General features: G+C 43.8%; 1 protein-coding gene and 1 long non-coding RNA gene across 9 annotated transcripts in view, besides 2 other annotated features; one reads left to right on the top strand and one right to left on the bottom strand.

Annotated features, from left to right (window-relative positions):
- Window positions 1-12,522, top strand: part of TNIK (TRAF2 and NCK interacting kinase) — a 401,995-nt gene that overhangs the window by 296,344 nt on the left and 93,129 nt on the right. For all 8 annotated transcript variants that reach the window (NM_001161566.3, NM_001161565.3, NM_001161562.3 and 5 more), the window contains exons 11-12: window positions 2,729-2,795; window positions 6,401-6,605. In NM_001161566.3, the coding sequence (NP_001155038.1) occupies window positions 2,729-2,795; window positions 6,401-6,605 (272 nt within the window). The remainder of the gene's footprint in view (window positions 1-2,728; window positions 2,796-6,400; window positions 6,606-12,522) is intronic.
- LOC105374216 (uncharacterized) overlaps window positions 2,903-12,522 on the bottom strand; it is a 59,021-nt gene continuing 49,401 nt past the window's right edge. The window contains exon 5 of the long non-coding RNA XR_007096163.1: window positions 2,903-4,287. This is a non-coding gene — a long non-coding RNA (uncharacterized LOC105374216). The remainder of the gene's footprint in view (window positions 4,288-12,522) is intronic.
- Window positions 4,631-4,925: an enhancer, noted in NCBI's record as "tiled region #12227; K562 Activating DNase matched - State 5:Enh". NCBI's record gives its function as "activates a minimal TATA promoter and a strong SV40 promoter by Sharpr-MPRA in K562 cells {active_cell/tissue: K562}" and the evidence as "EXISTENCE:reporter gene assay evidence [ECO:0000049][PMID:27701403]".
- Window positions 6,351-6,645: a silencer, noted in NCBI's record as "tiled region #1564; HepG2 Repressive non-DNase unmatched - State 4:PromP, and K562 Repressive non-DNase unmatched - State 14:Gen5'". NCBI's record gives its function as "represses a minimal TATA promoter and a strong SV40 promoter by Sharpr-MPRA in HepG2 and K562 cells {active_cell/tissue: HepG2 | K562}" and the evidence as "EXISTENCE:reporter gene assay evidence [ECO:0000049][PMID:27701403]".

Here is a 12,522-nt window from a genome sequence, read left to right as displayed (position 1 = left end):
CCCCAAGGAATGGTGTTTGATCAAATGAGATCTAATTCCATTTGTTCAGTTTAATCAAATGACTTAGTTTGCTCTAATATTACTTTTCACTTTCTTAGTTGTTCTATGACCAACTTTTGGTAGAATCAATCAAAGCAATTCTATTTTGCATTATTTGTGATTTTTTTCAACCTGATATTTTTTCCCTAACATATGCTGACACATGCCAAATTTAACCCAGTAATATAAAAGCAGTCAAAAGCAAATTTTGGTGAAGTATTAAATATTAAATTGAGAAGCCTGACAAATGAAGGATTTACCCTAGAGAGTAGAAGTAATTGGAATAATTGTGTGCTTCTTTTCCTTGCTGTAATTTCCTTTATTAGATAAAATTTCTGCATTTTTACTTTGAAATCTGTTTATTCATTTTGAAAAAGTTTGGAATATTTCATTTTTAGGGTGGAGTATTAAAATGCTTTATGCAGGTTCTTTATATTTTGGTGAACTAATATTTTAAAAATAAGTAGCCTGAAAGCTTCATACATACCTAAATGTATGAAGCTAAGTTGTGATTTTAAAAATACACTTGAACTCATCAAACTTTTGGCTTTCCTTCATTATCTCTTTAATGGCTAGTGTGAAAAGCAAGGCATGTTTATCAAATCTGAGCATTCTCACTGTGTGACTGCTGCCTCCTGGTGGTAACATAACTAAATTGCAGTTTCAGTTTCTTTTTAGGGATGTGCAAATGTCTTCAAGGTTGTAATTATTAACCTACAGCTATGAAGAGATAGGAGTAATGTGACACCTTCCTTTGCTTAAAAGCTCCTCCAAGGGTTCCTCATTGCCAATAGGAAAGTTCTCAGCATGGCATTTATAAGAATCAGTGAGCCATTTCATCCCTGCCAGCCTTTGTCCCTCCATAAGGTTTTCTCACACCCAGGCACCTAACTACTCACAGCTCATTGTTTCCTGAACATATTATGCACTGTAATACTGCCAGCCTTACTCATGTGGATATGTTGCTTAGAGTGTCCTTTTCCCACAAGTGCCAGCTGCTAACTGCCTGGAGAAGGGCCACTGACCTTCCAAAGCCCAGTTCATTTTTTCTCCAAAGACTTCAAGTCTCTTCCTCCATTATGACCAGTGGCACTAGCTGTTCCTTTCTTTGATATCTCATTGCTCTTTATATGTACTGCTATTTAGCATATAATATGTTGGAAAGAGCACTATTTTTTAAGTTGGAAAAGTTCTGGATTGAATTCTAAATCCAAATCCTAGATTGACCTTTTATTAATGAGATAACATTGGTTATATTACTTAACCTCTTGTAATTTCAGTATTCTTGCTTGAAAAATAGACACTAATTTGGAGGGTTATTATGAAAAATAAATGAGAGAACAGAGTAAAATATCTAGCAGTAGTGACTGGTGTGGGAGATACCCACTAAATATTCCTTCCCTTTCTTCACAATCATGAAGGCTCTGATATTTACTCATCTCACATATTAGATTTGATCTCTTCCAAAGCAAGCCTCAATCTTATTCATTCACACATGTAAACTGCTTCCCATTTTGCTGAATTAAAGGACTGTCCCTAGTGGATCAATCAAAACACATTTTAAATATAGATATACATTTTTTAAATTTTAAATATATATTTGAGACGGAGTCTCACTCTATCACCCAGGCTTGAGTGCAGTGGTGCGATCTTGGCTCACTGCAAGCTCCACCTTCCAGGTTCATGCCATTCTCCTGCCTCAGCCTCCCAAGTAGCTGGGACTACCGGTGCCTGTAACCACGCCCAGCTAATTTTTTTTTGTATTTTTAGTAGAGATGGGGTTTCACTGTGTTAGCCTAGATGGTCTCGATCTTCTGACCTCATGATCCGCCCACCTTGGCCTCCCAAAGTGCTGGGATTACAGGCGTGAACCACCGCACCCGGCCACTATATATTTTTAATAGCACCTATTGTCAAAAGTTTCTTTGTTGCACTTAGCAAAATAGTCTAAAGACAGTTTGCAAGTCCATGTAAGTCATAATAAAATCCTACTTTAAAAATGGTTAATACCATCAATAAGTTACAAAGGGCCAATGGGTTTGATATGGGTGGCTTTATAGTGGGAATAACACAAACAAATTATTATTATTATTATATTATTATTTTGAGACAGGGCCTCGCTCTGTCGCCCATGCTAGAGTGCAGTGGCACGATCTTGGCTCACTACAAGCTCCCCCTCCTGGGTTTGCGCCATTCTCCTGCCTCAGCCTCCCAAGTAGCTGGGACTACAGGCACCCGCCACCACGCCCGGCTAATTTTTTTTGTATTTTTAGTAGAGACGGGGTTTTGCCATGTTAGCCAGGATGGTCTCGATCTCCTGACCTTGTGATCCGCCCGCCTCAGCCTCCCAAAGTGCTGGGATTACAGGCGTGAGCCACCGTGCCCGGCCAAACAAGTTATTTTTAATTGAAATTAAATTAATAAAAAAATTAAAAAATTATTTTTTAATTCCTTCTCATGTGAACACTAGGCACTGGGGACAGATATCTAGAGTCAGCCGAGACAGCCTTGAATGTGGTTAATTTCATATACTTATGGGAACCATTAAATCACAAGCCTGGAGACCGTTCCAGCGCTGTGTTAACTACAACTCTTTGGGTGTCTATTTATTTATATATAAGAGACGGGGTTGGGCTTTACTGAGCCATAGCATCTTTTTGTGCACTAACATGCTGGGATCTTTCTTCAGATGAGACAGAGTATGAGTACAGTGGAAGTGAGGAAGAAGAGGAGGAGAATGACTCAGGAGAGCCCAGGTATGAGAGCAAAAGCCAAGTCTTCTAATGTTCACATTCTGAATTGTGCTTGTGTGAAATTCACTTTCCTTTTGATTTATAGGTTCGTTTTTAAGAATCCACCAGGGTGGTCTTATTTAATTTATTGCCCATGAACATACTCATTAATTTGGGAAAATTTCCCTAGGCAGACCATTACGAAAATGTGGAAATCAGCATATTCTTTATCTTGTCCCCCAAGATTTATGGTCTCTATCGTAAGAGCTTGTTTTCTTACATATGTAACACGTAGAATGGGTAGAAGGCTAATTATCTGGGCAATGCAGGACTAAAAATACTTAAAACTGCAACTTTCTAGAGACCTAAGTGGTATTTTCGGACTTGCGTTATTCAGTTCGTTACTTCACACCTTTGAGAAGCCCATTCGGGTAGCCACTGTCCTTGTCACATGCCTTGGTATTTTCATTGCAGCCTAATCCAGGAGAAAGTGATTTTCAGAAAATCAAATTATATGTAGAGATGAACTCCAAACAAATACTTTTGGGCCATTCCTGTTGTCACCTGTTGGACCTCAGAATCCAGGGCTGTTTTATTGTCATGCCTACATTTTGAATTCCACTTGACTTTGATTCTGACTTTCTTCTAGTCTGTGTTTATAAGTAATTAAGGTTAGTGTGCTTGCACTGCCAGGATATCTCTTTGGTGAGCGAATTCAGCTTGTTGAGTCAAGGAGGGCAGGCCCACATCCCATGGTGCCATGCAGTATACATGTGAAGTAAGACTTGGGGGGAATTGCACAAGCAGAAGACTCATTGAGGTGTGGCCTCCCTCCTCAAGCCATCCAAGGAGTGGACCCTAATGCTCCAGAAGGATCAGTTCCTGTACCACTGAGGGAGAGCTTTCTGACCAGAAAAGGGGCCAGCTTAGCCACCACTGCTAGAATGAGCCAGATACCATGTGTTCTTTTTTTATGCTAACTCAGACCTACTGAGCTGGATTCTTGCTAAGCTTCTATAAGAAGATGGAACTGAGCTTTCAGAGCCATCCAGTTTTTCTCTCTTCACCTGCCACAGGATTCCTCAAGGTCAAAGACCGAATACTTCTTTCCTACCATCTGATACATAGCATGTTGGCCGTCCCCGGTTTAGCTGCATAAAGAAGATGACTGCCAAGTAGTGACATAGAAAATGAACATTCCTGAAAGGCAGAGGACCAAACGCCCTGCTTTCAGAGAAGTTGTACACCAGTGTTCAAAAGCTTACCCAAAAGGTTACTGTGTCAGCCTTCTGACCACTTTCTGTAGAACTGAGAAACCCTGTCTTTCTAACACTTGCTAAACTGCATATTAGGAGTCACTCAACGAGCCAGCCCAGCCGTACCTTAACACTTCCGTAATTATAACATGTCATTATATCATGCTGAAGATTATGTTCCAAGTCCTGTTGTTGTTGTTATTATACTTTAAGTCCAAGTCCTGTTTTTATGGACGTATCTAATTAATCTTCATGAAATCCTGAAAAATAGAAAAGGACAATGGTTATCTCATTTTAGAAATGAGGCGACAGCCTAAGGGTTGCACCCAGGTCACACACAGAGTTAATGGTTGAGTCACTAACACAGCTCAGATCTTCTGACATTGATTCAATATCAATTAATATTAATGGAGCATCCTCGTGTGCATGGGAGGCTGGGTTCCCAAGTCCCTCCCCTCTGCACAGGGCAAGTGGCCTGTGTAGATAAGCACCATCGTTTGGGGTTTTAGAGTTTGACACAAAGGCTCTAAGTTTTAGAGAAGGCTTGTGAGTAGACGCCAAGCATTGTCTATGGAACATCACGAACAAAGCCTTTTTATGTCTTTTCATGGCAGTATCTCACACAGCACACTAACTACTCTCCAAAACCGATCCTTGGTCCTCTTGTTAACTGCCACGAAACTTGCTCCTCCCTCAGCATTCCTCATTCCTGTTCTCGTTACCACCGTCACCCAGCCACCAAGACAGAACCTGCAAGTCATCCCTCACTCCACATGTCAGATCTGTCCACAGGCTTCGTGACCTCTATCCCCAAACGCTCCTTCCCTCCTCCACCCGCTCTGCTCTCGCCCTGGGTGGTGTCCCCACCCCAGAACCACTCTGCAGCAGCAGTCCGGCTTGCTGTGCTTGCCCCTGTACCCCTCGCTAGGTCATCCATTTAGCAGCCAAACCCATCTGCTCATGTTGCTCTTCTGCATAAAACCTTCCCGTGCCTGCATGGCTGTCGCGGCCCCGCACCTATCTCTCTGACCTCCTCTCATACCCTTCTCCCTCTCATTCACTCTGCTCTGGGAAGCCGGGCTGGTGTTCAGTTGCTCAAAAATAGGGTGCACCCCTGTTTTCCTCTCAGGCCTCTAAACCTGCTTTTCCCTCTGCCTGGAACGTTCTTCCTTCTTCATCAACTGCTTCCTTCCCAGAGAGGTCTTTCTGACCACCCATCTAAAGTAAGGCCTCAAAGCTTACCTCAGCTCCCAGCCACTGTCACTGAAACAATTACAATTTTAGTCTTCTATAGAGCCTATTAATACCTGAAATTATTTGTCTGTATGTGTGTCCCATAAGAAGATAACTTTAAAGGGAGAATTTATCTAGCAACTGCCGTATCCTTAGAGCTTACTACAGTGACTGCCACATAGCAGGTGCTCCGTAAATATGTGTTTAATAGATTTATTTCAAATGGAAGCTTCCAGAAAGATTAAAAGGGCTACGTTTGAATAAACAGAAGTCATTTCTTAGCTCCCTCTTAGGCTGCTGTGCAGAATCAAGGAGTCTGTAACATTTAGTTGTTCACCTGCGAGCAGGGCAGCCCAGGACCACCAGCGAAGTAGGTAGAACTTATTTATGTCCTCTCGATCTCTGTCGTATGCACACACATTCATGTACAACCACCATTTTACAGAAGACAAAACTGTTACCTAAACAGAATCTAGGAACCAATGAGCTGGGTTGAAGTCCTAGCTGCACCTGCTGTGGCCAGAGCCAAACCAAGCCCTTTAAGTGTGGTACAGTCAGGCAAACCCTGACTTGGACTCAGCAGGCTTGGGCTCAGATCCTGGCTCTGTGTTGACCTTGACTCAAGGGTTTTCCATCGCTAGTTCATCGTGGCTTCACAGGAGCAGCCTGGCCTCTGCCTCATGGGGTTTGGTGTGAGGGGGTGGTGTGGGTGAGGCCGATCTGTGCTTGTCTGAGTACCCTTGTTGCCCACCATTGTCCATTTTTATTGAAAATAATCCAGTCTGGGGCTCATGGCTTGCACACTGGCTAAAGTCTTTAAAAACAAATCTTTGCCACGTCCCAAGGATGAGGGAGTGGTGTGGACAGTCCTGGAGAAGGTGACAACTCTGAGAATGTGACATCCCTCTATGGATGGAGGCAGCATTTGTTGGCCACAGTCGTACTGAAAGGGAGGCAGGTCTCTTATCCTGATGCTGTTTCTTTGGGGTGAATGATTGAATTAGCGGAGGATCTAGGAGCCTGTGCTCTTCTTTCCCTGTGTGTGGGTGAATCATTTGTCCCGCTTTCCTCCTCCAAGGCCTCTTGGTAGCCATGGCCCCTGCCCCACGTGGGATCCTGATCACTCTCTCCTACCCACAGCTCCATCCTGAATCTGCCAGGGGAGTCGACGCTGCGGAGGGACTTTCTGAGGCTGCAGCTGGCCAACAAGGAGCGTTCTGAGGCCCTACGGAGGCAGCAGCTGGAGCAGCAGCAGCGGGAGAATGAGGAGCACAAGCGGCAGCTGCTGGCCGAGCGTCAGAAGCGCATCGAGGAGCAGAAAGAGCAGAGGCGGCGGCTGGAGGAGGTGAGGACCTGCTCGGGCCACCTCTGACCCCAAGCCTCTCAGTTGTGGTCACTCTCCAAGCATTCCCTGGGGGCCCACATCCCACCTGTGAGCACACAGAGCTTAGAGGCACAAAGGGGTTGACTGCAAGGGCAGATAAGTCCTGAATGCTCTTACAAACAAAAGGCTTCCCTTGCTTTTTGTGGTGGTGTGGTCATTTCAGAAAAGCAGGTGAAGGCCGTCACCCCTTCCTGTCTTGCCCATATATCACCTTCTCAGCACCTTCTCAGCTTTACTTAAAGTCACAGTCCCTCCCTCCAGCATGTCCTATTTCCCTGCCCTGCCTTATTACTTTTACACAGCCCTTAGCACCTTCAAATATAGTCTACATATACTTTTACATGCCTGAATGTCCCTACTGGAATTTAAGCTCCATCAGGACAAGGAGATTTTATCTCTTTTATTCCCTGATGTATCTCTAGCATGTCGTAGGTGCCTCATAAATATCTGTGGAATGAGTAATATATGAATGAATGGGTCAGTAGTTGAGAGGTGAAATATAGGTATTAACTAGATCACAGTGAATAAGCAGATAAGTGGAATTTCAAGTATGGAAGAGTAGGACCTGCCTATTGATGCTCTGAATGCTAGGAAGAATGTTTCACAGATCCTTTCCCAGACATCCCTTAGTACCCAGGGCCTGTCCTCCAGCCTGTGGGCAAGACCTGCCTTTAGCAGCAGATACTGCTTATCTGTGTGGGAAGCCATACTGCTAGCCACAGTTGGCTGCATGCCTTGTCCTGGGCCAGACTCTCACCTTGTGGTCTTACAGACATTTGTTAAAGCCTCCTTCCCAGAACTTTGCCCAGATATCTCAGGCCTCCTTCCTCTGCCAGATAAATCAAAGCCTCTAGACAATTAGGAAACCGAGAGAGCATATCTATTGGGGAAGTTGGGCAGCAGATGAAAGGCGCACTAACTGCACGGTAATGGGATAGTAATTTTACAGGTTTCCCGAACACCAGCTTGCTTCTCATTAACGGGCTTGCAGCAATTCACTTGCTTTGCCAGGTGGCCACTGAAGATTTAGAGGGTGGTGAATTGCAGTCACCAGCAGCAGATTGCTTTTTAAATGGTACATCAAGGTCCAGCCTCCCTGGTTTAAATCAGTAAGGGCCTCAGTTCCAGTTTGCAGCAAATCCCATCAACCTCATTATGTCCTTCAAATATCAGTATCAGACCAGCAACAATAATACCCAATGGTTACAATTATTGAGTGATTTTAGTAATGTCAAGTACCAGGCAGGATGCTTTGCTTATAGCCACTATCTCATCTACTATCATTATCTCTTTTCCTGTATTGATTATCTCTCATGCAAAACTCATAATCCCCATTTAACAAAGAAGAAACTGAGGTTCAGGGAGGGAAGTAATTGGTCCCATGTTGCAGGGTACTGTGTTTAGTACTTTACACGAATTGTCTCATTTAATCCTCACAATAATCTCCAGTCTAAAGATAATGCAGCTGAGTCTTAGAGAGGTTAATAACTTGTTAAAGGTTGAGAAGAAAACCGGGTTTCAGATCCAGGGGATTGGCCTGCAGAGCCTAAGCACCAAGTCACTGCATGTGTTCTGTGTCTCCACTGATAAGTCAAAGTTGGTATGCTTTTCCACATCCCTCATCTGGCCTCTATGTCTATAGTCTTTTATCCTGAACATTTAAGGAGTTCTGCGCAAGGGCACAGAATCTGTGGCCAACAGATGCTCGCCTTTGACCTGGGTTCTGTCTCACGCTCCCAGTCAGAGCTATTGCCAAGGCCTCCTTTGTGTCTCTTCTCTTGTGGCATTTGCTTGAACCTCTACCATGGAGCAAGTCAGAGTTCAGCTCACTGAGGCATGTGCAGCCAGAGACACACCCTGTCAATCCTGGCTTGCACAGAAGACGTCAGCCAGCATGCATGAGGGCACAAGCCTTTTGCTGTATGTACCAATGGGCATGAGCCTTGGCTCCATACCAGAAGCAGGAATGCTTCTGGCCACAGAGCATTGATAGATTATTCCAGCTTTCTCTTTTGATCCTTCATCTTATTCTATAGCGCAGTGGAGAAGAACAAGGAATACTAAGTACTCAGAGAGCTGTAAATTCTGAACCCCTTAGTCATGACATTCTCTCCCACCAGGAACTCTTCTGCTGTGTCCTGCTCCTGCCAGGTCCCCTTCTATGTCTGCTTCCCTGGCCTTTGGTGACCACTTGTGTTTCTGGTGTCCTGAGTAGGAACTTGGACTACATTGTCATATAGAAACTGTTAAAGCCCATAGTTCAGCTTGAGTATTTCACTGCGAGTCATTTTTCCTTTTGTAGGAAAAACATTCCCACTTAGCTACCCCTTTGGTCACACAGGACTATGTAGCTTGTAGCTTTTGTATTTTGTGATCTCAAATGTCACCTCCCACCAGAGGGTTTCTAAGGAAGCCCTGCATGTCCTTTACTATTTATGAGTAACCATGTGGATTTGGCTAAGCTCTAAATCAGTGTCTGTATATTCTTAGAAGGACTTTGAATATACACTGAATGTTGTCACTGATCAGCTTTATGAAAAGGACGTGGCTTCAGGCCAATTAAATGGTGGAGAGAAGACTCAGCTTTTGACCATTGTTGAAGTACAACCTATAACAAAGTTCCAGGAACTTGATTAAACCCAGCTAAAGTGAATGAGTCCATCAATGGTGAGAAAAAGTACAAGGAGGACCTCTTCTAGTTTTACTCAGCTCAATAAAAATTTCTATTACTTGGCATAAACAAAATACATCTTGTTTTATTCTGTATCATGGAGTTAGGATCCAAGAATAATGGGAGCCTTCAGGGGTCAAGGCTTCTACTCTGGTAATCTTGAGCAAGTTTGTGGTGATGTTTGATTCTGCTCAAGAGTTCTGAAATGATATTAGTGATTTATATATGTGTTTCAAATTGCTGAGCACATTCTATACTTTCATTTTGGGGAGCGTGCCTGTAAGTCACAGGAATGAATCAAATAGACCCCAGAAGCACCTGCTCCCTGGTAGTATGTTTTATTCTTTCAAGACTCTTTCAGGACACCAACATTCTCATGTAGTGCCCTTCAAGACCATCCTAACATTGTCCAGTTATAAAAATAACCAGTTCTATCTGGCCAAAAAATATACACTTTGGCTCCATCCCATGAATTTTTTTTTTTTTTTTTGAAGAGATATCACCTGTATCTTATTGGCCAGTAATCATGGAGCATTAATGTACAAAGTAAGAACCTGGCAGCCTAAAAATGTCAGCCCTCTCTAAGCCTCTAACTTTTTATTGTGACTGAGGCTTTCAAGGATGTTAGACTCAATTGTTGTTGTTGTTTTTAAGCATGAGGTTTTTAAGCATAAGGTTGAATTAAAACCTTTTCCTGGGGTCTGTAGGTCATCATTTGACAAATATTCAGTGAACACCTCTGTTGTGTGGGCACCATGTTAGACACTAGAAATACAGTCTCCCATTGTGACGATTAGATCTGTGAGGGAAACAGGCACTAAGCAAATAATCAGCCAAGTAATCATTTATCATCACAGCAATGACTGCCGTGGTGGAGGAGAGTGGCATGCTAAAAGAGCGTGCCACAGGGTGGGAGCCTCACCTGGCTTGGTCAGAGTCCCGCTACAGGAGGGAGTGGGGCACGGAGAGATACCAGGCAGGGAAGCCATGGCACAGTCATGCAGGGCTTTGTAGACCATGTTGATTACTTTTGAATTTTATTCTAAGAAGAGTGGGAAACCATTGATGTGTCTTCACTAAGGGAACAGAATCAGATCTGCCTTTTTCAAATGAAACTTGGGCTGCTGCAGTTGGTGCTGGAAAGAAGCAAGAGTAAATGGAGGAGACAAGTTAGTCTAGGCCAGAGAGTGTGATGCTTTGGACAGATGATGGTGGAGTGGGGATTGAGAAAAGTGGACACATTTGAGACAAATGTAGCCTGTGGACCATGCAGGATGTGCAAGTTGATTAGACATCAGGGATGAGGAAGAGCAGCCAACAGTAATAGTAGTAGTACAATCCATGCAGTTGGATTATGGTAGAGATGGCCATAGAAGAGGGGTCAAAAATAAGAAAAATAGGAATTATTGGTTTGTGGTAATAAAAGTACACATGAGAAGAGAGTGTAGGCCTGAGCTCTAAGAACTCAGAATAGACAAGGAAGAGACAGCAGAGAAATTTGATAAGGAAGTGGAAGGAACACCTGGAGAGTTTGATGCTATAGAAGCAAAGATTTAGTATGCAAGCATAAGGATGGAGTTAAAGGGGCCAGCTCTGCAGAATGCTGCTCAGAGGTCAGGAAGACAATAGCATCTTTTGGTTTCAAATGACAAAGAGGATATTTAAAACATAGTTTTGGCCGGGCGCAGTGGCTCACGCCCACTGTAATCCCAGCATTTTGGGAGGCCGAGGCAGGTGGATCACGAGATCAGGAGATCAAGACCATCCTGGATAACACGGTGAAACCCCGTCTCTACTAAAAATACAAAAAAATAGCCGGGTGTGGTGGCAGGCGCCTGTAGTCCCAGCTACTCGGGAAGCTGAGGCAGGAGAATGGCATGAACCCGGGAGGCGGAGTTTGCAGTGAGCCAAGATCATGCCACTGCACTCCAGCCTGGGCAACAGAGCAAGACTCCGTCTCAAAAAAAAAAAAACAAAAAACAAAAAACAAAACACATAGTTTTTGTGTAGTACTCCCTAGAAATTCTTTCATTTCCTGTCTTTTCTGGGAAGGGAAGCAACCTGCCCAGGGAGTCAGTAGATCTGCACTTGGAGTGAAAAGACGTCAACTTCTGAGGGTCACCATGTACTACTACTACCTGCATGCCCTGGCAGTTCTTATTCTCTCCACACCTCCACTTCCTGAGCTCTGCAGGGAGATCAGTAGCAAAGCTTGTTCCCACCACCAAAGTTTTCCTGAGGATTAACCAGAAAAATGGATATAAAAGAACTTTATTGACTGCCAAAAGCTGGACAGACCTTACTTTTGAGGACTGGTCAAATTCAGCTTAAATATTTCTAATGAGACCCACCTTATGCTTGTGTTGGAATTCTTCCTAATTCCATGCTCATCCATTTGCTATCAGCTTTTTGTTCACATTCTCTGTTACCATGCATTCTTCCTTTTTTCTTTTTTTTTAATTAATTTATTTTTTGAGATGGAGTCTACTCTGTCACCCAGGTTGGAGGCACGATCATCTCAGCTCACTGCAACCTCTGCCTCCCAGATTCAAGCAATCCTTATGCCTCAGCCATCCGAGTAGCTGGGATTACAGGCATGCTCCACCACGCCCAGCTAGTCTTTGTGTTTTTAGTAGAGATAGGGTTTTGTCATATTAGCCAGGCTGGTCTCAAACTCCTGGCCTCAAGTGATCTGCCTGCCTCGGTCTCCCAGAGTGCTGGGATTACAGGTGTGAACCACCATGCCCGGTCACCATTCACTCTTCTCTTAGGGTAACCAAGCCCAGTCTCAAAGCAGCTCAGCTGTGCAAGCTGAAGCCCAAACCCAGAGAAGCCGCTGGTGTGGAAGGTTGTTCTTTGGAACCTTAGTAGCTTCTTCCAAATGCTCCTAGACAGCCTCCACCCACAAAAGAGTGGTGAGGTGGTGGGGAAGCTGCAAGTTTCTCTAAGAATCACAGTGCAGGACAGCATATTGATGCTCTGGAAAGTCCTGGGACAGCAGAGCATTTGGTAAAATTCAGTAGAGAGTGAAATTGTATTTTGGTTAACAGCATAGACTCTAGAGCCTAAGACTGCCAGGGGTCAAATCCCAGCTTTCTTCCTTATTAGGTGTGTGACCTGAGTAAGTTCTTTAACTTTCCTGTTTTACAGTTTCCTCATCTGTAAAGCAAGAAATAACAATAGCATTTACCTCACAGGGCTGTTGTG

Source organism: Homo sapiens, chromosome 3, assembly GCF_000001405.40.
Source record: "Homo sapiens chromosome 3, GRCh38.p14 Primary Assembly".
Taxonomy (NCBI): domain Eukaryota; kingdom Metazoa; phylum Chordata; class Mammalia; order Primates; family Hominidae; genus Homo; species Homo sapiens.
The sequence above is the reverse complement of the archived record's forward strand: the minus strand, read 5'-3'. Positions and strand labels throughout refer to the sequence as shown.